The sequence below is a fragment of the Homo sapiens genome, chromosome 8 (assembly GCF_000001405.40).
Source record: "Homo sapiens chromosome 8, GRCh38.p14 Primary Assembly".
In the NCBI taxonomy this organism is placed as follows: Eukaryota; Metazoa; Chordata; class Mammalia; order Primates; family Hominidae; genus Homo; species Homo sapiens.
Genome location: NC_000008.11, coordinates 91,951,622 through 91,974,304, shown reverse-complemented (window position 1 = coordinate 91,974,304; position 22,683 = coordinate 91,951,622). Strand labels below are relative to the sequence as shown.

Here is a 22,683-nt window from a genome sequence, read left to right as displayed (position 1 = left end):
GAAAGTCAACTTGAATAGCTATGTACAAAGGAAGTCCTACCATAAGTGGTAAGCAATTGGACGCAGATTCAAAACTGCACTATGTATTTTCCACTTAATCAGTTGTTTATTTTTTCCTACATGGCATATTGTTATCTATTGACTCCACTATTATTTTTCTTTACTGTCTGTTTTGGGGGTTTTTAAACCTAATTCTGGGTGTAATTTAGGTTTTGGGGACTTAAGAGAGTAGAGAAAGAGCACTACTTGTTTTTGTTGTGTGCTTGCCCTCTCCAAGAAGGGTTAAACCTTATCTAGGAAGTGTTTAGATTATTTATTACAGTGTCTATCATCTACAGTAGGTTTTCAATCTAAAATATGACATTAAATTTGTATTCTTCTCACAGTGGTATCCCTAAACTGCTGCTTAAAAACAGTTTGGGAATAGTTTTCTATGGATATATGCTAAATTTTAAGGAGTATATTAAATCCACAAAGTATGGATGATAGTTTCATCTAGAAATCTCCAGTAACTACTTATAATATTTATCTTTATAGGTTTCTTAAATGGCATTTCTAGTGTTCAGTGTCAAGGCATCCAACATGATGAAAACACCAAGGGCAGAATGTGACATCTGCACTCAGCTTGTTACAATTTGAAAGCTTTTATCCTAGCTTTCTAAAATTGGCTATGGGCAAAAAAATTTTTTGAAGAAAATCTATAAAGTGTGTCTTTGCAATGAAATTATTATACATTATCTTTGTTGCAAAACATAGGTGAATAAAGTATTTGAAAAATACAAAAGGGGCAGAACACCCAAAACTTGATGTAGCATAACAAATGCATCCACTTTCACAGAAAATTGTAATTACAAGTATACCCTGTGCTTGAAAGTACATCATATAGCTTTTTGCATCATTTTATTTTGAAATGATTTCAAACATGCAGGAAAGTTGCAAAAAAAAAGTACAAAAAATTCCTCTATAACTTTCACCTAGATTCCCTTATTTTATCATATTTGCTTTAGTATTTTCTCTTTTCCTCCCTTTCATCCTCTTCTTTCTCTTAAATATATATATATTTCTAATCATTTGAGAGTAAGTTGCAGACATAATTTCTCTTTACCTTAAATGATTTGAATGTCAGTTTACCAAGAACAAGAATATTCTACATAACTTCAGTACAGTTACCAAATCAAGACTTTATCACTGATAGAAGACTATTATTTAATCTACAGACCCTATGCAAATCTTTCACATTGCCCCCAATAACACAATATAATAACATAACAACACACATTTTTAAAGATTAGAAATCCAAAAAATTGTTCAAGGCCATATTCTCCTCTAAAAGTAGTATTTTTTAAAGCGAAAGTAACAAATGCACTCAAAAGTTACAAAGGTCTTTATGAAACTGGAAAAAATCTAACATAAAGATGGTTTTAAAATTGTAACAATGTTTTCTTCAGTATATTTCTTTTTACATGATCAGAGAATGTTTGCAGTTGGTAATAAATATTCAAGCACCTTGCAAATGTCCTACCAATTCTCTTTGCTGATCTGTATATGCCTGTGGGATTAGAATAGGAATGCATAATTTAAATGTAAATTGCCTGATTTGCATATACAATTAGTCAAGCTACAGCTTTGATCGTAAGCAAAAATTATTGTTCTGTACTACCACTTAGATAGAATTTTAATTCACCTTGAATATTCAAACTAAATTAGACCCTGGCTGTATAGTTAGAAGGGCAGTACTTCCCTTGTGCCCCAAGTCATTTATGATAGGATAATAAAGGCATCTTTTCACCTCCTGGTGAAGAAGGTGCTATAAGCTGTTTGCAATACTCTGATTCTGTACAGATTTTAAATGCATATCTTAAAGCAGCTAACAACGGCTTAATATAATTTAGTTAATATTTCCACTATGGATCTTTTACTTATATTTTAGTTTATAAAACCTAGCAGACAGTAATTGCAAAGAAATGTACTTCAGATATAATGCTGCTAAAATGACAGAGGCTACAAAAGTCATGACAGTTAATTACTAGTGGAGAGCTTCTGATGACTCTCAAGTCATGGACAATAGATGTGTGAAATAAACCAGAGGAATTGAAGAAACAATAGGAGTACTTGCATCTCTTACATTTTTAATCTACAGTAAAACATTTTTATTAGGAATCTATGTTTTTAATTAAACAGAACATTTAATTAAGGTGCTTTTTAAGTGGGTGAAACAATTAAGTGCAAACACTTGAATGAAACATGTCATAATTAGTTTTAATAGAGTGTTAATTGGTACTAGGTTTGCCAAGTTAATAATTACTGCTTATTAAATTTTCAATTAATCATTGTCATTTTGCTTTGAATAAAGATGAAAATTAGATAAACTAATTCAGGGGGAGGATATTTTCCCCTGTTAATTAGAACAGTTAATTTTTTAAAATGGAAATTACTTGTTTTAGTTGTCAGTCTTATGTTGTACATTAGTTGAATCTTTGCACCCTTTCCTCAGCCAAAAATAAAGAGCTTATTTGACACCTTGCAGACTCATAGTCAGGCCTGATTGTTTTGGCCTGTGGTATGATTCAGTTATATTTGTCTAGTGCAACAGTTGGTTATGCAAAACCACTGTATATATTTGGTAAAGTAAATGGACAACAGCTTAAAATGTAAAAATGAGATTATTTTTTAAAACCTCTATCATTTAACCTATAAAGGCACATATTTATATTACTCAGGAAATGACTTTTCAAAAGTAAAACTGGATCATCCATTATAGCATTGATTTTTCATTAAAAGGTCTATAGTAACTTAATTGCTATCTGAGTTACCTTTTCACTATTGTGTTGTAGATTATGCCAGCAACTAATAGTTTGCACTTATTTGTTTATGTGTAAAATCCATTCTCGGCCTCTCTTTTTTTTCTGAACTCTTGACCTGTGGACCCTCCTATATTCATGTTAACTTATAGCATTGTGGAAAACTGACTTTATGTGTCTGAATTATTCAGACAGGTTTCTTGCGAATGACCTTGTCCTTTAACTTCTTATCTGGTCTCAGAATCATTTCTGGAGGCATTAGTTTGGTTAAAAAAATTATAATAATGATATAGGAGTTTCAAAAAATATTTCCATAAATTCAAGTTAAAGAAACATTTTCACCCTTTGTTTTCCTAAATGTATGTCAAAAGATCTGCTAGTTTTTAGACTGCTGGAACTGCCCAATAATTTGGATGAGAGTCATGCTTCTTCTATAGAATTCTACAAAAAAGTAATCAGATAGTGGGCATGGTGGCTGGAAGGCTCCTGTAATTCCAGCTGCTAGGGGAAATTGATGCAGAGGATAACTTGAGCCCAGGGGTTCGAGACCAGCCTCGGAAAGAAAAAAAAAATTAAAAGAAAAGTAATCCGTATCCAATGACTTCGGCTAACTGAGAGGTGTTTTCTTGTCTGGTTTGGCCTGACTGGCACACAGAGGAGGCCGTCAATGAGGTGAAGCGCCAGGCGATGACGGAGCTGCAGAAGGCCGTGTCTGAGGCGGAGCGGAAAGCCCACGACATGATCACAACAGAGAGGGCCAAGATGGAGCGCACGGTCGCCGAGGCCAAACGGCAGGCGGCGGAGGACGCACTGGCAGTTATCAATCAGCAGGAGGATTCAAGCGAGGTGAGGCATCTTGGGAAGCTCCAAATAAACAAGATAGTTTTCATTCATTAGAGTGCTCATTCTTCATTCAAGGTGATCACTTTAGATAAATATTTGGAAAAAAATTTAGAACAGTGTGGGGAAAGTCAAGGTATTCATGAAATTTGCCAAGAGCTGATCACATTTGTCTTTTTATTGAACACCTAATCTTTGCCAAAAAAGGTTTTGAATGTTTGGTAGGTTACCGATCAAAGTGAAATTCTTATAACTTCGCAGCATTATTTAGAGACTCATAGCTTGGCTGTGTGTGTCTGTTGTGTATGTGTGCATGTGCATATGTGTATGCTTGCTTTCCAATTGAAGGGATTTAATAGATACTGTGTAAGCTGTGGTCTCCAAAGCCATCTGGCAGGCTTGGGATTGAAATCACTGCCTTAGCTATTGGTCCTAAAGTCCAATGCTAAAACAATGTTTGCATCAACTGAATATTTCTAAGAGATCTTAGAGACAGTCTGTACTTCCACATTATTTGTGGTAACCCATATGATGGTCATTTCATAGCATAACATTGCTGCTAGAGGTAATGTTACATATATTATTGTTCCAGTATAATAATTCTCACACACACACACACAACACACACACACACACACACACACAGCTAGCCTAAATGGCTCAAAGATCTGCAAAGTAACTAAAACACAATATCTAACAACATGATTTTTAAAATATTGCCTGCAAAATCAGCAGAATAGTAATGCTCCACGTTAATTAATATAGCATCACGATCCTTAACCCCAGAGTAACTTTAGATAAAGGACTACAATGGGCTGCTCTCACCAAGCCGAACTCACAATGGCATGGACTGATAAATCAATGGTCTACTACAATACATATCTATAATTTGTGAGGGAGAGTAAGTATTTAATTTGTACCAGGCTTTTCTGTAGATGAAAGACTCTGCAGGAATCTCTCAATGCCCAGAGTTTCTATTTAATGTGTAGCAGATGAATAACAAGGGGACAAAAGGAATTGATTTTCAACATTTGAAAGTTTCTCAGGAAAAGAGGGACAAAGGGAAGTTTATCTGCCCTTTAACTGCTGACTTTTCCATTGTTCAATTAAACTAGACATAAATTCAGTTTTATTGGTATCTTGTGGCTAAGATATAAGGACTTTATGTTTTTTATTTTAAAAACATTATTAGCATCTTTTGAGGAGAATTTGTCCTTCTCTGTTCAAATGAGCAATATCGTGAGGCACAGTTGATGTCATATCATTAAAACTGTCACTTTCACATGAACATTTTAGGGCTGTTAGGTATGTTAAGAGTACTTTTTAGGTCACCAAATTCTAAAGACAGATGTCTAGGAAGAAATTGTCAATTAAGTCTTTGTACTCAGGCAGTAACATGCTGTATTCCTTCAGTATTTATAAGCTTTGTGTCTTTATTCCTAAAACCTATTTAGAAAATATGTGATCTTGACACCAATATTTAGCATTATAAATAAACCCTGTTAAACAGTATCTGTGATAGGTTATTCAGTCATATCTACTACTAATGTAAGAATGATCTTCTGTAATAATTGTTTTTCTTTTTTTTTTTGACCTCTTGGGGGAACTGATCTTTAATATAGCATTACCAGTGTCTTCAGTGACACTTCCCCAAGAATTTTAAAGCAGACCATGGTAGAGGAAAGGGTTTGGAATTCAGAGGGTCAAACTTAATTCCTGGCTCCAATTCTTACAATTCTTTGATTTTTGAGAAAACCACTGAACCTGTAAAAGCTTCAATTTTATCATGATCTGAAGAAGAGTGGAAGTGTCTAGTATATGGCTTGAACCTTGAGTCATGCTATGGATGAGGAAACTTACCTGGCTAAAGTTACACAGCTAGGAAATGGCAGAGCCTCAACAGGATCTCACAGCATGCTTTCAGTCCCTATGTTGTTTTGTAACAATGAAATAAGGATCTTTTCATAGGGATCATTAAGATAATTTTTGTATGCAGATAAAGACAGGCAGCTTAGGTCTGTTTTCTTATTCTTTAAAGTGCAAGGACCACTTTTAAGACTTGGGGAGGAATCATCTCTAGAAGGATTAAGCCTCTTTTCTCCAAAAATGCTGTAAATAATTTCCCAAGAATAGAAGAAAGAAAGATGGAAAAAAAGATCTCTTTACGCCCAATAAGGCCCATATTGCCTTGTGCTTTAAGTATTTTATGGATTGTTCTGTTTTCTAAGAAAAATGAATGTTCTCATTTCTTAGAAGTTTAATGTGCAAAACTTACCGGAGAGTGCACTGTAACCTAGGGTGCAGGGCAACCACACCTCCCACTTTGGGTGGAGCTGTCCATTGACACCTAGTGTCCCAATATAATTATTACGAGCGCCCCCTTCCACTGTCAGGTGTCCTGTCTTCATTGATAAGTTGAATGGTCCCACCTCTTAAAGGCCATGTTCATCTGATCAGATGATCGTCTTCTGCTAGCACAGCTCGGAGGCAGATACGTGTGGCAGAAAGTATCTGAGAGGAGGACCCAGAAGTCCTGAATTATGGCCCCAGCTCAGTTACTGTCTCAGAGGTCCTTCGGCAATTCATTTTATTCCTGTCAGCCTCCATTTCTTCTTAAGGAATGGGACGATATTCATTTACCTTACAAGGTTGTTTAAAAGATTTTTAAAATAGTGTTTTTGAAAGCTATAACACAATATATTATTATCTGCTCATATTTCCCACAGTTTTTAAAAAATCACAGTATTTACTAAAGTATTCCTACTGAAACAATATTCTTTCCTCCCTTTCCCTTTCTTTATTTGAAGCCACCACCTATTGTAAACATCTGCCCATCTCTTACCTAGGTCAGGTATGAACTATATAATCCAAATCTAAAACAACGTATATGTGGTAAGATACACACATTATTATTCTCTTTCCTTCATAGGGATTGTAAGAAGGAATCTAAGATTCGCGATCAGAAGACCAGAGTTCTAGGCCTAGCTTGGCCATTTATGTTTCTTCTGCGCTATTTGTGTTAACTCTAGATACCTCTGAATTCTTCTCTCTGTAATTTCTGAATTTGCCCTTTCTCTTCCTATCTCAGTTTTCTTTCACATGTATAAAACGGAGCTAATGATGCTCATTCTGCTTAGAAAAAACAGTGGTTCTGAAAGATTGGCAGTGGAAATGTTTCAGAAGGAGGAGAGGAGTTGAGAACATTTGACTGGGGAGACCAGCAGAAAGAAGGCTTGGAGGCAGGAATGAATAACTCATGGATATTATTTGTAGGTGGGCGGGGGAGGGGGGCGTGTAAAATTTATCATCCAAACTGGGATGCCTTTTGGAGTAAGAAAGACTGCTCTTGCTTAGACAGACCAGTCCGGTAAACCAGGCCATCCCAGGCTCATGGGAACCCACAGTCAGCCAAGTTATCGGAGGTTGCATGAAGTTTGTTTTGCCTGAGATGAAATAAGACGACCTACGATGAGTGTTTAACTCTGAACCAGGCATGGTATGAAGTGCTTTCTATACTTTAGCTCGTTTACTTCTCACATCGGCTCTGACAAAGTAGGTAGTGTTACTTTCCTCATTTTACTGATAAAAAGCTGTGCCTTGAAGGGATTAGGCCACTTGCTCAGTGTCTCATGGTCAGTAAGTGTGAGCTGGTCCTTAGTTCAGGTAGCCCGACTTTCAGGCCACCTTCTTAGTAGCTACATGGCAGGAGTGGGAGGTTTTTGTTTGTTTGTTTGTTTGTTTTTTCCTAATTGTGTACTGTATCTATTTTTCACTGGACTTCATGATTATTTCTACCTAGTTCTCAAACTTTACTTGGATTTATAGGCTGATAGTTGGTATTACTATCAGTTAGAATGACACTGGACTTGCGGCAGATATCTAAGCAATGTGATGCTTACTGTACTTTCTCTTTTCCCAGTGGATTATATATTTAACCCAGAATATAATGCCAACATTAGCATAAATCAGAAATTTACTGAATCTGATCATCTTAAATTCTTTTATTTTCTCCATATTTATTTCTATTTTTCATTTCCTATCTGTGTACAGATAAAGCTTTTTCCAATGAATGCTCTCAGATTGCAGCTATTTCCAAGGAAACTTCTACAGCTTTCTTTGAGATCCATACCTTATACTAGCTTAGGTGATTGAAGCAAGAAACTGCAAGTGAGCACAGAAACAGATAAATACTTTTATTGTTCTAATAGTTTAGAGTTTTAAACTACCAAAGTGATGTTTTTCCCCCAGATTAAAACAGCCTTTATTTATCATTCTTATATAGGTGCAGAGCTGCACAGTTATACCAACCTCAGTGGAATCTGTGAAGTTTGGCCCAAACTGGAAATGCCACCTGTGTAGACTCTGAATAAAACATAGGGACCTCACAGCATGGGTCCTGTCAAAGCCTTCACAATCTCATCAGACCAGTTGATTCCCAGAAAAATTTGGAGCTCTCAGAGCATGAGCTATGATGCTATGTTACATATATATATATATATAGTTATACAATATACAATATGTACAATTATATATATATATTTTATAAATATATATATATATGCCAGCTGTTTGATTCCGTAGATGTTCATGGTATAGTAGACAGGGCACTGGGCTAGGATTGACCTTTGGTTGCTCACCTCTTGAAGCTTTGGTTTTCTCATCTGCAAAATTTGGGATAACGTTTCTGTGATCTGCCTGCTTTGCAAGGTGGTGGAGAGGTGCCAATGAGATGAGGAGAAGTATTTTATTAAAAGAAAAGTCACCTTACAAATGAGCAGTGTGTCTATGTAAGAACGAAAGAGGAAAACGGAGAAGAAAAACAGTTAAGAAATGATCCTAACAGGAAGGGTGGCGAGAGAATTAGAGTAGTGACTATGCGATTGAAAAGGAGAGAGACCACAGAAGTAGTCTGTGGGGTTTGGCACTGAATGGTTCCAGGGGCTAAAGAAAGAGGGGTTTGCAATAAAGTGACAAAGTCTTGGGCATGAGTGTTGCCAAAGACTGAAATGGACCCACCAGAGTTGGGTTTAGGGAATACTGACTTAGAGGAGCATCCTGGTGGAGGTACCTACAGAACAGGCAGTTGAAATAGGAGCACAAAGCTCAGGAAGAAGATAACAAGGAGAAACAGGTTTGAGAGTAATTTGCTTACAGCTGATCATTGAAACCACAAGATCTCACAAGGGGCAGCATGAGAAGGAAAAGATATTCCTTTTCTTTATGCCAGCATCCCTCCCTCCCTCACTGTCAACTACAGGGAAAAGAACAAACAGCAGAAGAAGTTATTGTATAAGAAAGAGAATTTTAGTAGGGGAAATTTCAACAAGAGGCATTTAATAAGGAAGAACGGGGAAGTAATCAGCAATGGTAAATCTTCAGAAATTTTGAGGACAGCAAATGAAGTTGCGGAAGAAATTATTAGTCACTAATGAAGTATGAGGAGAAGTAAGTTAATGTTCTTCTCCTGTAGCTGTCAGTGCCCATGGGTGATAGCACTTAATTTGAATGGGACCATCAGCCTTCTAATTCTAAAGGTTGTAAGGTGCTGGATCTGGAGCAAGGACTGTATCTACTCTCTCTTTCTTCCAGTCAGTACCAAAAGGAGGGAGTGGTGGTAGTACCTGCCATTTATTCAGGACCTATGAACATCATGCACTGTGCTTAGCACTGACATAACCCTGAATAATCCTGCAGTTATTATTCCTGCTTTACATGTTCTGTTGCTCCAAGGGTTAAGTAAGTGGCTTGTGGTTCTAAAGCCACAAAGTGATGAAGTTGGAAATGAAATGAAGTTGGCCTGGCTTTTGAAGCCTGTGCCATTTTCATTACACACTCTGACACCTTGTCTTTGCTGCCTCTGACTTTATGGTTCAATTTCTGTCCATTTTTGGGAGTTAAGTGCCTGCTAACCTGTTCTTGCCACAATGAGAGCTAATAAAAGATCTGAAGTTGACAAAGTGTGGCATTTTAGAAAGAATATTTTTAATTTGTAATCCAAACATCTGGGTGAATCAAACTTTGGCTATGTAATTTTATATTTTTGTGACTTGGGGCAAGCCTTTTACTGTGAAAATTATTTATTTTGAGGGTCCCAGTTTCTGAAACTGCAATCATGTGAAAATGATTTTAAATTGTCAAGTGCAATGCAAGTAGATGATGATGCAATCTTAATGTGAATTTAAGTCAATGTGTTGCCTTCTGTAGGATTCTTAACATTTGAGGAGTTTCAATTACAATCATTCTATTATATTTAAATTTATTACACATCGATTTTGTGCAAGTTTTTCTGAAGAATTATAGATATGTAAGACCTGGAGAGACTTAAAGCAGTTCAGAGACAAAATAAAAGATATTTTGTCCTTCAGAAAAAGATTTTTCTGCAGTAAGAACCAGAAGGGATATATGCCTGTACGACAGAAAGATCATTCTCTAAATGTTTTTCTTAGGGACAAAGAGAAATGCTGATTTGAAACAAAGTGTCGAATACCTTCAGTATGCAGTGTTGGCATTCAAAAGCTTCAGTCCATTGATTCTGTATATAGCCTTGTATTTAGTATATTTAGCAAAGGGGAGGTTCGTGTTCAGCCACAAATTCTTCATCTGAGTCACAACCTAACTTTGGTCAATTGACTTATTCTTACTTTTCAGATAGGGAGGAAAATATTCTTTATGCCAAAAAGGGAATAACATTATCACAAATAAAGGAATACTATAAAGTGCCATGAGCTTTGGGAATGAAATTTGCTGTGATATGGATATCCGTGAGCTTTCTACACTATTATGGTAATTTCAGTGACATCACTCCTTAGAGGCCTGAAAGGGAAGCTCAGTCATTTAAAAATAAATAAATAAAACAATTATCAGGAAATAGTATCTTGAATATAAAATGCACAAACTGCAAAATGTAAAATTAGATTAAGCCATTGACTGCCTTTATCCCAGCCCTTGTGGATAGACACGTGGCTGTTAGACACAGTTTGCAATTTCCACCTTTGTGAACAGTAGAAAGCTTAGAATGATCCAAATTGGAGTACTCAAAAGATTCTGCACCTTCCGCTGTTTCCAGAATTGTGACTATTCAGGGGCTGAGTGCCACTGATCAGGCATCAGTCTTGCAGGTATGGATTAGCCAACAGTAAATTCACTAGAGCATCCAAGAGAAATATATTAATAGAAATTGCTCTTTCAGTTTTCTAATGAGCTTTTAAGAATGAATATGCGCATTGGAGCGTTTGTTAGTTGAACACTCACTAAAGTTCCCTACACATTCACTGCAATGCAATGTCAAGAGAAATAAAAATTTGCAGATTTTTTTTTAACCAGATCATTAAAATTGCTCTTTTTGTAACTTCCTACAGCTGAAGGTTGTTTTTTCTTTTGTCCCAGTGGTGGGTGGTAAATGAATAGTATCAAACAACTTGAGAATGAAACTAGAGGTAAAACTAGCCAGACCCCTTAACTCCTGGATCAGAACCAGACAATACTATGCAAGAAGGCTCAATTCCCAGCAGCTTCACGATCCAAAACATCTGTTTCTGTATTTGGCACAATTCCACTTTTTTATTTGTAAAATTGTTCCCATCTTTGAAAACACTTTAAAAAATAAAGAAGCCCCCATTCTGTCTCCCTTTCCACTTCCCAGCACATGCATCTGTAATTACCTGGTTTAGTCTGTGTGTTTAATCAGTTTAAATTGAGAATGTTGCATACATCTGATTTCAATCTGAAGGAGCCATTGAGTATTGGACAGTTACCACCCTGTGTCTGCCAAAACGTGCCTCTGCCAAAAAACGGATAGGACTCACACCAGGGTATTTCCTAAAGAAGCCACTTGACTCAGATTAGATGTTTAATTTCCTTAAAATATTGTTTTGGATGTGAGTCTCTGTTCTCTAATTGGAATATTCTGATGTAATTTAGGAATATAGCTTATTTGCTGAGTTTGTTCCAGGATCCAGCTGGCATTATTCTAAAAGCCTAAACCTCAAGGAAGTTAACTTCACTCTGAGCACTGAGTATTATACCTCACAGCTTTGAAGGGTGGGCCAGGCCCACGTTTGCTCACGTCTTTGTGGAACCATTGTACATGCAATGCAGTTGAATTAATTTTGAGAGAGAAAGGCTTCTTGTTATGGTAATGAGACTTGCGATCAGAGCTTCACATCTTTTGAGATAGTTTCTTAAATTAATTGAAGTAGGAAAAAATTGTTTTGTTCTACTACTATTCATTCAAATTTTAACTTATGACATTTTTTGACATATCAACCAAGTTTCTAGATTTCCTCAGCAATAGTCACTTAAAACACCTGTCATTGGCCAGAGTTTGAGATTTTAAGTTTTTGTTTTGTTTTTGTTTTGTTTTTCCGTGTTGGATTGTAATTTCTTTTTTATTTCTGTTTTTTGTTTGAGCTTTTCTGCTCAACATAGCAATGTCTGATGGTTAAAGAAATAAGAACGTGGAGCTGGGCTCTTTCTAAAAGTTTTAAATTGGAGTTCTTGAGTTCAAAGGCTTTCAGCACATGCCAGCCTCTGGGAGCCCATTTATTTGTTAACAATGTTAGGATGGCTGCTAAAAATTCCCTTGCACGTTTTGCACAGTGGTAAAGCCATACACAGGGTGATGGGCTGACGTTTCCTAGGAGTATAGTATTGTCAGCAGCTCATGAGCTTACCTTAAGCCACACAACCAGCATGCTGGAAGCAAAGCAAATGTAGAGAACACAGTAGGGAGACCTGTGAATACCTATGTCAGGGCTTTAAAAATCTTTCTTATCACACAAGCACATAGCGTCAGCTGTTTGGGGTTACCAGATTGTAGTCAGAAGTTTGTTTTTCAAGGACATAATCAAAACCAATGAAGTTAAAGAATAAAAAGTTGAATGACATAAAGCTAAGATTACTTACTACAGTTTTGCATAATGGGATCGGTCTTGCCAAAGAAACTAGGAACATTTAAACATTTAAAGTCAGCTTTGTGAGGTCCCCCTCCCCACCACACTCATAGGAGGATCCCTGAAGGTTAGTTTCTTCCTCATTCCTCCTTGCCTGCTTAGGGCCTGTCCCCAAAAGGTGCTCTTCTGTCTCTGGTATGTTTGTGCTCTAATTCGTGATGCATTTATCTTAAAGTTTAAATCCTGGTGGCAGCCTCAGTCCCACTTTTCTCATGTCTTGCAAAACACTGCCCACAACTGGCAGTGAACTTACTAGGGTTTGAGTTTTGTTCTCATCACTCCCAAATGAGCCCCAGTTCCCTCTGCTTTTCTGACTTCCCAGAGTTGCTGAGGCACACAGGAGCAGCAGAGCAGCTCCGTTGGCTGGAAAGAACTGTGTGCAAATAGAATTGTTATTTGGCTGGTTTTAGCATTTCTCATTTCTCAAAGCCAAATAAGGCGTAGTCTAATTCATTCATTTCACAAATATTTATTGAACACTTCTATCTATCAGGCACCCATTCTGGGTGCTTCAGATACAGGGAGAAAAAACAAACTGAGGATCCTGTCCTCCAGGGAGCTGAGGTAAAGGGGGTTGTTTTAACACAGTCCTAGCATTTGGTTGTAAGGTTCACTGAATGGATGCACTGAAAGAACTAAAGACATAGAGAGGTTAAAGGACTTTGCCTCACCTTGTCTAGTCTGAAGGAGCAGGGAATAGAATCCCTTATCTACTCTATTATATTTATTTGAATCCAATATAGATATGGTTCTGGTAGTTTCTTTGTGATTCCTTTTGGTATCTAAAAGGAAGAAGCTTCTGCTCAGATATATCTCTGTGTCTGACTATTGTGGTATAGGTATTGGGAAAAGATTTGGAAATAGTAATTGCTAGTCAGTATGAGTGAAGGGAGAATTTACATACAAAGATAACCAAACCTAAAAAGAAAGGATGTTATAGTAAGAACTTAAAAAGTCTTCAACTGCTTTGTCAGATGCCATAGTAGTTGTTGGCAGAGCAGTTTGGACAACCATCCCATCAAAACCTGCATCTTCTGTGTTTAGTGTTTGTATCCATACGTGAACACCTGGATTTTTCATCCTGACTGTATAGTTCTTGAAAATAAGGCTACAGTGATGCCTAACATATTTGTCAGACTATTGTCTTAACAGTGTATTAACTTGGGATCTTGCTTTCTTCTGCCTTCTCCTTTAGAGTTGCTGGAATTGTGGCCGTAAAGCGAGTGAAACCTGCAGTGGCTGTAACACAGCCCGATACTGTGGCTCATTTTGCCAGCACAAAGACTGGGAGAAGCACCATCACATCTGTGGACAGACCCTGCAGGCCCAGCAGCAGGGAGACACACCTGCAGTCAGCTCCTCTGTCACGCCCAACAGCGGGGCTGGGAGCCCGATGGACACACCACCAGCAGCCACTCCGAGGTCAACCACCCCGGGAACCCCTTCCACCATAGAGACAACCCCTCGCTAGACGTGAACTCAGAACTGTCGGAGGAAAGACAACACAACCAACGCGAAACCAATTCCTCATCCTCAGATGCTCAAAGTTGTTTTTTTTGTTTGTTTGTTTATTAGATGAATTATCCTATTTCAGTACTTCAGCAAGAGAGAACCTAACTGTATCTTGAGGTGGTAGTAAAACACAGAGGGCCAGTAACGGGTCGTAATGACTTATTGTGGATAACAAAGATATCTTTTCTTTAGAGAACTGAAAAGAGAGCAGAGAATATAACATGAAATGATAGATTTGACCTCCTCCCTGTTATTTTCAAGTAGCTGGGATTTTAAACTAGATGACCTCATTAACCGATGCTTTACCAAACAGCAAACCAAGAGATTGCTAATTGCTGTTGAAAGCAAAAATGCTAATATTAAAAGTCACAATGTTCTTTATATACAATAATGGAAAAAAAAAAAAGAGGAAAACCCTCAAGGGCATGAGCATTGGATACAGCAGTAGACATTTTAACAAGAAGATGAATGGCGTCCGTGGGTTGCTAACTGAACTTTGAAGACCCGCTACAAAACGCGCAGATGTGCAGCAGATTGGAAGGAGACACAGATGTTCGGTTTTTTTCCTGTTTCTGAAAAGAAATAATAATATCCAGGTCAACAGAATGAAAAATGAAAGATGATTTGCAATGGGATGTATGAATACAGCAGCAAGAAAAAAAAATGCCATAATACAAAAGGCTCCATATATATATATATATATATATATATACACACACACACACGCACATATACACACACACACACACACACACACACACACACACACACACACACACACACACACAAGTAAGAGACTCAGCCTGCAGTTAATTAGCATTCTGGCAGTTTTGACATCAGCCAGCTGCCCTAAATAACCCTTCAACGTTTCTTCACTTTTGCAAGGTTCCACAGAGTAAGACATTGGGTCTATTCCAGCTCATTCATTTTATATTGAAAAAAATAATTTTAAAAATGGTGGCTTCAGCTCCAGCCCCTTTCCAAAATTTTTCAACCCCACCCTGTTTGGATTTTTAATTAAAAACTAGTAGTTCTCTTGGTGTTAAAACACTTCTGTCCTGTGAGGTTTCCCAATGGTGTTTTTCTTGTAAATGTGTTGGACAAATGTGAAGATGCATTGTAGTTTAACCATATGCCCACATTTAGTCTCTTTATTCCTAGTTGGTGAGAAACCTGTATCTTTCTATGCTGCTTTTATATCTGTATGTATTAGTGATATTTCTCTAGTAGTTAAAAAAAAAAAAAGGAAAAAAAGACTCTTTTTGGTTGTCCTCAAGAAAAGAAAAGAAGAAAAGCTATCTTTCGGAGCTGCTATTTCACTCTCTTATAGGATTTTTTTTTTTCCTGAAAACCAGCATGCTTCACGGAATGCTAACATATTGGTGTTTTTGTAAGAGGGATGTACATAAATGTATTTTGCACTGTCACAATGACTCCCTAGGCATGCTTTTTGTTTTTTTTTTTTTTTTTTTGAGCAAATTCTTTTTAAATATGCTAGAGCCATTTCATCAAGTTTAGCTGTAGCATAGAGTAGTCGTGGAATTTTTCTTTTTTTTTTTTTTAAATCATTATTAGGGACTTTTTTAAAAAAATAAAATAACAAGATATCCTACTTTAAAAAAAAAGGACAGTGCATGCATATTGCTGTAAGGTCGTTTAAGTATTTCTAATTTTACAAAAGTAAAAATCATTAGAGCTCCAAATGCTGAGGTGTAGATTGACAGCTTTAACACTGCTGAATGCCAGGTTATACAGTATTCTTACAAAAAGGGAAGTCAGCCAAAGACTGATCTGATGGACCAAAATCGGAATTTTGAAAAGCACCAGTACTACTTTCCAAATGATCAGCAGGTTAAACATGTTCAGCAAGGTATAGTATGAATCCATTAACCCTTCGTTGTCCAGGGTCCAGACCAGAACTACTTGTTAGTTTTGAAAACAGTAGCCCAGGATGTGGTTGTGTGCTTTAGGAAAGTCAGCAGTGCTGCAGGCTGTGTAGACAACCAAAGTTTACAAGGCTGGGAAGACACTTCTCCAAATACATATACACCAGGCATTTCTTTAAAATCAAAAACAATCCATTAGCTTTGGGGCGGGGGGTGGGGGGAGGGTTAAATGTAGGCCTTGGAAACAGTTTTAAGTGGCTTTTAAGTATCTGCATAGAGGCAATCCTAAGGTTTGCTTTAAGTCTCTTAAATCTAACATTTTTAAAAGCATTTCTTCCCTGTATTTTCATATACAAGTTGGTTTTAATTTTGTTTGGGTGGTGTTATTTTTTTTAAATGACTTTTTAGTTTAGAAAGTTCTGATGAGCAAATAAATACATCTATCTACATGTTGGAAGTCCATCTGCCAGCACACCTGCTTAAAGTGAAATGAAAGCACATAACCAGGCTCTGAATGGGTTATATTTTATCATGGTGCTCCCAGAATCCTTTGACCTCACTCTGCTTTCTAGTCTGCTTGTGACACTGGACAGTCCTTTCTTACAGAGCTATTATATGTTCTAGGCTACGAAGGGTTAAATAATCCCAAAAATGAGGTATGTCATACCCACACGTCTTTATCTCTAGAAGCTGTGATGTATGTGAAACAGCACTGTTATTCTTAACACTAGTGTGTAAAATAAGGATTAGTACAGTACGTCTCATTACTTTTTAATTCAGGGCACCCTGAGTGAAAACAAATACAAAAAAAAATCCCTAACTCTGAGCTCTATCTCTGATTCCTCTTCCTCCTTCCCCTCTTCCTCCTCTTCCTCTCCTCCTGTTTTGCTACATTCTCCTCAGTGGCAAAAAGTTTCACTCTACCTCTGACAGCATGTATATTGCACCAGTAGCTAACAAAAACTGGTCTAGTCAAACCAAATGGGCACAAAAGAACCAGGATACCAAAAGTTAAGCTCATACAGCTGCAAACCATATCACTTCTTGGTAACAATGCAGACCTCATAAACCTAAAGAAGAGAAAGAAAAGAAAACTTTTGTTACTTTCCTTTTTTGCTTGTCACTTATATACAGGCTATGTGAGAATATAATTTGTAGGTATAACACATTAAGAAAAAGTTATCTTCATTGGATAGAATTGAATGGTGGTCGCTGATAGGAATAGGGCGTCCTCTAGCTCTTATCTCTGTCTCTTACTCTTTTCTCTTTCTCTTTTTCTCTGTCATGAGACTGTGTGTGACAGGGCCACCTGTCTTTTTTTTTTCTTAAATTTTTTTTTTTTTTATGTGTAGGTGCATGTCTTGGGGATTTAAAAATTTCAAGGCTGGTTTACTTATGCAAAGCATGCCTACGTCTGGAATACTTAGGGAAAGAAAGCGACTCCATGTTGTCCGAATTCCTCAAGGGACAGAAAAAAAATTGGAGACTGTTGAAATGCAGATTTGAAGTAATTTTTTTAAAATATTATTTTGGGTTCTGCGACATTGTGAAAAATTAAAGTTGTTGTGCAATACTTAATTCAGACATGTACCACAAGTTAATGGTAGACTAACACTGGGGGGTGGGGTCTAGGCATCATGCTTTTGTCAGCATACTCTTGAGCTTTTAAGTCTACTATGTCTGAACTGTGGTTTCTTGTTTATCCTTTTTTCCTTAGTTGGACTGTAATGTATGGTCTGTCAACCTGTGAATCTTTAAAGTATGATTCAGGTATTGTTGTATTCTTTACTGTGTAATAAAAAAGTTGAAAAAAATCTGGATCCTCTGTCTCCCTCGTCCCCGGTGTGCCATGGTTGCCCACCAGTGACCCCAGCCTGAGGAGTCCATCCTCCATGGTGCTGAATCAAATCTGTAGAGTTTATTCAGCTACAAAGCGTGGCTCTGTAACAGGAGTTGGCTTATCCATGCGTGTTGAGTAGGGAATGATGTCAGAACTTTGCAAAAGTCGAGCTCATTCATAAGGGGATGTTTCTCAGGCAGGAGGAGTAGGAAGAGTGGGAGGAGAATTACTACCTTCCATAGGAAAGGAGAGCTTGGCTTGCCTAGATTAGCTGCTGCATAGATAGCAGAGGCCCTTTTGGCTGTGTTTTGATAAAATTAGAAATGAGTACCTAAATCTGGATCACTCTGCTCAGAGAGGTTCGTGCCAACCTCATGAGGCTCTGACTCTTGTCAGGTTGCTTGGCTGCCTTGTGCATACCCGAATGGCAGATCAGCTGACATGACATGGAACTGCTCTATCTGCCTTGTCCCCTCTCCTCTAATTAAAAGTCGCTACCATTGTCACTCTTGGTTATGTAGTTAATATCCACTGTGGCTATCTCCAACTTGCTGGGACATCCAGTTATCTCCTCTGACACATATTTTTTCATTCTCTAGTTACAAAGTTTGTTAGAGTTTGAAAAACAAACCCTTCTCCCCTACCCTGTGAATGCTGTTAGTTTTTATGTGTAGTTTTCAAAACACAGATTATCTTATATACTGTGTTGTAGCAGAAATTCCTGTTTCCTCTGAATGTTCTGACTTTATAGACCAAAATAATCGTTGCAAAAAATCAAGGATGGCACAGCAGGTGCATGAGCCCGTGTCTGGAGAAAGGTTATGAAGGTGAATGCTGGTTACATGGGAGGGTGACTTGGAGCCCTCTAGTTTCCTTCTTGTGCCAGCTGGGTTCCTGTTTCAAGGCCAGGCTTCTCTAACTTGTCTTCCTGGGAAATGTAGCTTTTCCAAGAATTTGGTAGTGCACACCAGGAAAAACTAGGTATCAGAACAGATTTTTTTTTAAATAGTGGAAACACCCTCACTCCCACACTTTGGACAGTTAGGGTTGGATATTTAATTTCATAGTTACTCTTTTTTTCCACAGAAGAAAGGCCAGCCTGACCCAAGTTGCCTATTTTTAATGTGTTACTGCATCTTATTTTCTCTTCAAAGTGAAAAAGGCCAGAAACTAGCAGATAGAAATGGAACCCGTTGACTTAGTTCCCTTATAAGAAGTTCTTGCAAACACCTCTGTGACGTTTTCATTCAAGTGGATATGTTGGACAAATAGGAAACAGTTTTAGTTTACGCGAACAGTATGAGACTTCCAGGTGGTGGACGCCATTTTTTTAGAAGTGTTGATGATGTATTTGATAACATTATAAAAGTATGTGTCTCCCGTGAAAGAACATTGAGCTATTTCCCTGGAATGGATGGGGAAGAAATGAGCAAAGGAGTGCTGTTCTGTATGGGTGTCTATACCCTTATTCCAAGGTGAATAAATAAAGTTGTGTTTGCCTAATCATGTCCTTGGTCAGTCTATTCTCAGTCACACTGGGGAAACAGAGGAATGCAGACATGTATTTTCCCATCCCACTTCTCCAGCCACACAACCAAGGAGGTAGGACCAAAGTTCTTTTCTTTTGAAATTTTCAGATTCAAATAGCATTTGCTGAAAACTTTGAGATTGTACATGGGGAGCCTATGAGAATGCCTTGAGATCAAGACAATATGATTATCAAACTTAACAATAAAAAAAATAACATTTGAAGGGGAAGAAAACAGAGGGCAGGTAAAAGAAGGAATATCCGCTTGTAGTTCCCTGTGCTAACGCTCTGGTGTCTGGTGTTCGTTTTCAGTGCCTAATACAGAGCCAACCGCGCTCAATAAATATTAATTGTAAATACAATCATGAGTCTGCAGCTAGAATAATGTGGTGTCATTTTACCCAGAAATGAACAAATTGGCTGGAGGAAGAGAAAGCGAGGAAAATGACTTAACAGGCTGGAGGAAGGGGTCAGAAAGGGAAGATGGAACCATATGTAGCTTGATCAGACGGTGATGAGGTGTGGCAAGGTGACCACTGTTTACGAATATCAGAGGGTATAAATGCCACAGTGGGGAGGGAACTGTCTAGTTCATTATGTGGTGGTTGACGATGGTTACTGGTGAGAAACATATAGTTAATTGTTACAGTTTTCTGTTAATTTCTTCACATAAGATGCCGCCAATGAGGCATTAGAAAATATTTTAGGCATCTAACAGCCCACAGTGAAAACAGTGGTACAGTCAGGACCTCATGGTCTCTCTCCTGACCACTTAGGGCTCTTCTGCCTTCCAGATTCCTATTTCCACTCCGTCTTCTCACTGGTTTGTTCACCTTGAGTTTCCTTCACTCTCTTTAGGTCTTCCTCCCTCTCTTTTCCTCCATCTACTCTACAAATAGTGGGCCTTTTTATATTTGTAACTATTTCCCTTTTTAAAAAGTTATTTATTTAAAGAGAGAGGGCCTCACTCTCTTGCCCAGCCTGGAGTGCAGTGACACTCTTATAGCTCACTGCAGCTTCAAATTCCTAGGCTCAAGCAATCCTCCCACCTCAGCCTCCAAAGTAGCTGGGACTACAGGTGTGCACCACCACACCTGGCTGATTTATTTTTTAAATTTATTGTAGAGATGGGGTCTTGCTATGTTAAGCAGGCTGGTCTCCAACTGCCAGCCTCCCAAAGTGCTGAGATTATAGGCATGAACCACCATGCCCAGCCCTATTTTCCTCTTTTTATCTTAATACTTTCTTAATCAGGTCATACTTGCCTTCTTAAAATCCCATGAAGGCCCTTCTGTGAAGCTTCTCCCAAATCAAGAGCAAGATACCTGCTCCCCTTGGTCTCTCTGAACCAAAGTCACAGCAATGTGTGGCCCAGATGCCAGTGAGTCTGGTGGTGACTTGCCACCGCTTAGTTGCTCCAACAGTGCAGACCTGGGGACAGCTGAGGTGCAGGAGACACAGGTTCAGTCCAGACCTACTACTGACCTGGAAAAGATGAACACAGGCAGTTTACATTATAATTAAAGATTCGACTGTACTTTCCTCAAACACATCAGTCTAACCCACCAAATCACTTAAGAGGAATTGGTGATGATAACATAGACATTGAAGGTAAAAGAAAAGGAAGGAATGTTCCATGTAAACGTTGTGTGATTGCAGCTAAAAATGGGCAAAATATGACCATGATAAGACTTCATGTGCTGGTGTCCAGTAAATCAGTAGCATATACTCTCCTTGATATACAGTCACTTCCCAATTACTTGGCGATAATACCATTTACCTAGGGAGTTCCTGCTTTCCACCTCCCTCTGACACTATTATTGTTATTGTGTAAATGATTCCTGGCAATTCACCACAACATTGAGTCACGGGCTTTCTGGACTTGGAAGGGAAAGCCATTTCTCTTTTGTTTCTTTCTTTAAAAACTAAAAAAAAAAACAACAAAATAAGACTCTAACAACAAAATAGGCCTCTAACGACAATGCCCACCTCAGACTTAGGGAAAGTCTAGTGTCAATTCATGCCTTCCCAGTGCTGTTCAACTTAGTGGCTTCAAAATTACCTGGGCTGATCGGGCACGGTGGTGGGTGCCTGTAGTCTCAGCTACTTGGGAGACTGAGGCGGGAGAATCATGAGTTTGAGCCCAGCCTGAGAAAAAGAGTGAGACCCCTGTTTCAATAAAAAGAAAAAAGAAATTACCTCATCTGTTTTTTTTGTTGTTGTTGTTGAGCAACATGGCTGTTTATTTCACCTGGGTGCAGGCGGGCTGAGTCCAAAAAGAGAGTCAGCGAAGGGAGATAGGGGTGGAGCCATTTTATAGGATTTGGGAAGGTAATGGAAAATTACAGTCAAAGGGGGTTTTTCTCTGGTGGGCAGGGGTGGATCTCACAAAGTACATTCTCAAGGGTGGGGAGAATTACAAAGAACCTTCTTAAGGGTGGGGGAGACTACAAAGTACCTTCTTAAGGGTGGGGGAGACTACAAAGTACCTTCTTAAGGGTGGGGGAGATTACAAAGTACATTGATCAGTTAGGGTGGAGCAGGAACAAATCACAATGGTGGAATGTCATCAGTTAAGGCTGTTTTTACTTCTTTTGTGGATCTTCAGTTACTTCAGGCCATCTGGATGTATACGTGCAAGTCACAGGGGATGCGATGGCCTGGCCTGGGCTCAGAGGCCTGACATTCCTGCCTTCTTATATTAATAAGACAAATAAAACAAAATAGTGTTGAAGTGTAGGGGTGGCGAAAATTTTTGGGGGGTGATATGGAGAGAGAATGGGCGATGTTTCTCAGGGCTGCTTCAAGTGGGATTAGGGGCGGCGTGGGAACCTAAAGTGGGAAAGATTAAGCTGAAGGGAGGTCTTGTGGTAAGGGGTGATATTGTGGGGATGTTAGAAGAAACATTTGTCGTATAGAATGATTGGTGATGGCCTGGAGACGGTTTTGAATGAATTGAGAAGCTAAATGGAAGATACAAGGTCAGAATAAAAAGAGGAGAAAAATGGGTATTAAAGGACTAAGAATTGGGAGGACCCAGGACATCCAATTAGAGAGTGCCCAAGGTGGTTCAGCGTAATTACTTGCTTGGTTGGCAAGTTTTTGGGCTCTATCCTTGAGTTTTTTTATGTTGTCATACACCAGGCCAGACTGATTTAGGTAAAAACAACACTCCTCATTTAAGAATATGCAGAGTCCTCCTTTTTCAGCAGTAAGTAAGTCAAGGCCTCGGCGGTTTTGGAGGACAACTGCAGCTAAAGAGTCAACTTGGGCCTGGAGGACTGATAAAGTTTGTGATTTTGAGGGCCTCTGAAAGTATTAAAGC

General features: G+C 38.3%; 1 protein-coding gene across 23 annotated transcripts in view; it reads left to right on the top strand.

Moving 5' to 3' along the window:
- RUNX1T1 (RUNX1 partner transcriptional co-repressor 1) overlaps positions 1-19,338 on the top strand; it is a 148,419-nt gene extending 129,081 nt beyond the window's left edge. For 15 of the 23 annotated variants that reach the window (NM_001198633.2, NM_175634.3, NM_001395209.1 and 12 more), the window contains 2 exons: positions 3,457-3,647; positions 13,788-19,333. In NM_001198633.2, coding sequence (NP_001185562.1) covers positions 3,457-3,647; positions 13,788-14,063 — 467 coding nt within the window. In that variant the 3' untranslated portion in view covers positions 14,064-19,333. Of the gene's footprint in view, positions 1-3,456; positions 3,648-13,787 lie in introns of all 23 variants that reach the window. The other 8 variants (XM_047422373.1, XM_024447318.2, XM_011517351.3 and 5 more) reach the window with 1 other exon arrangement.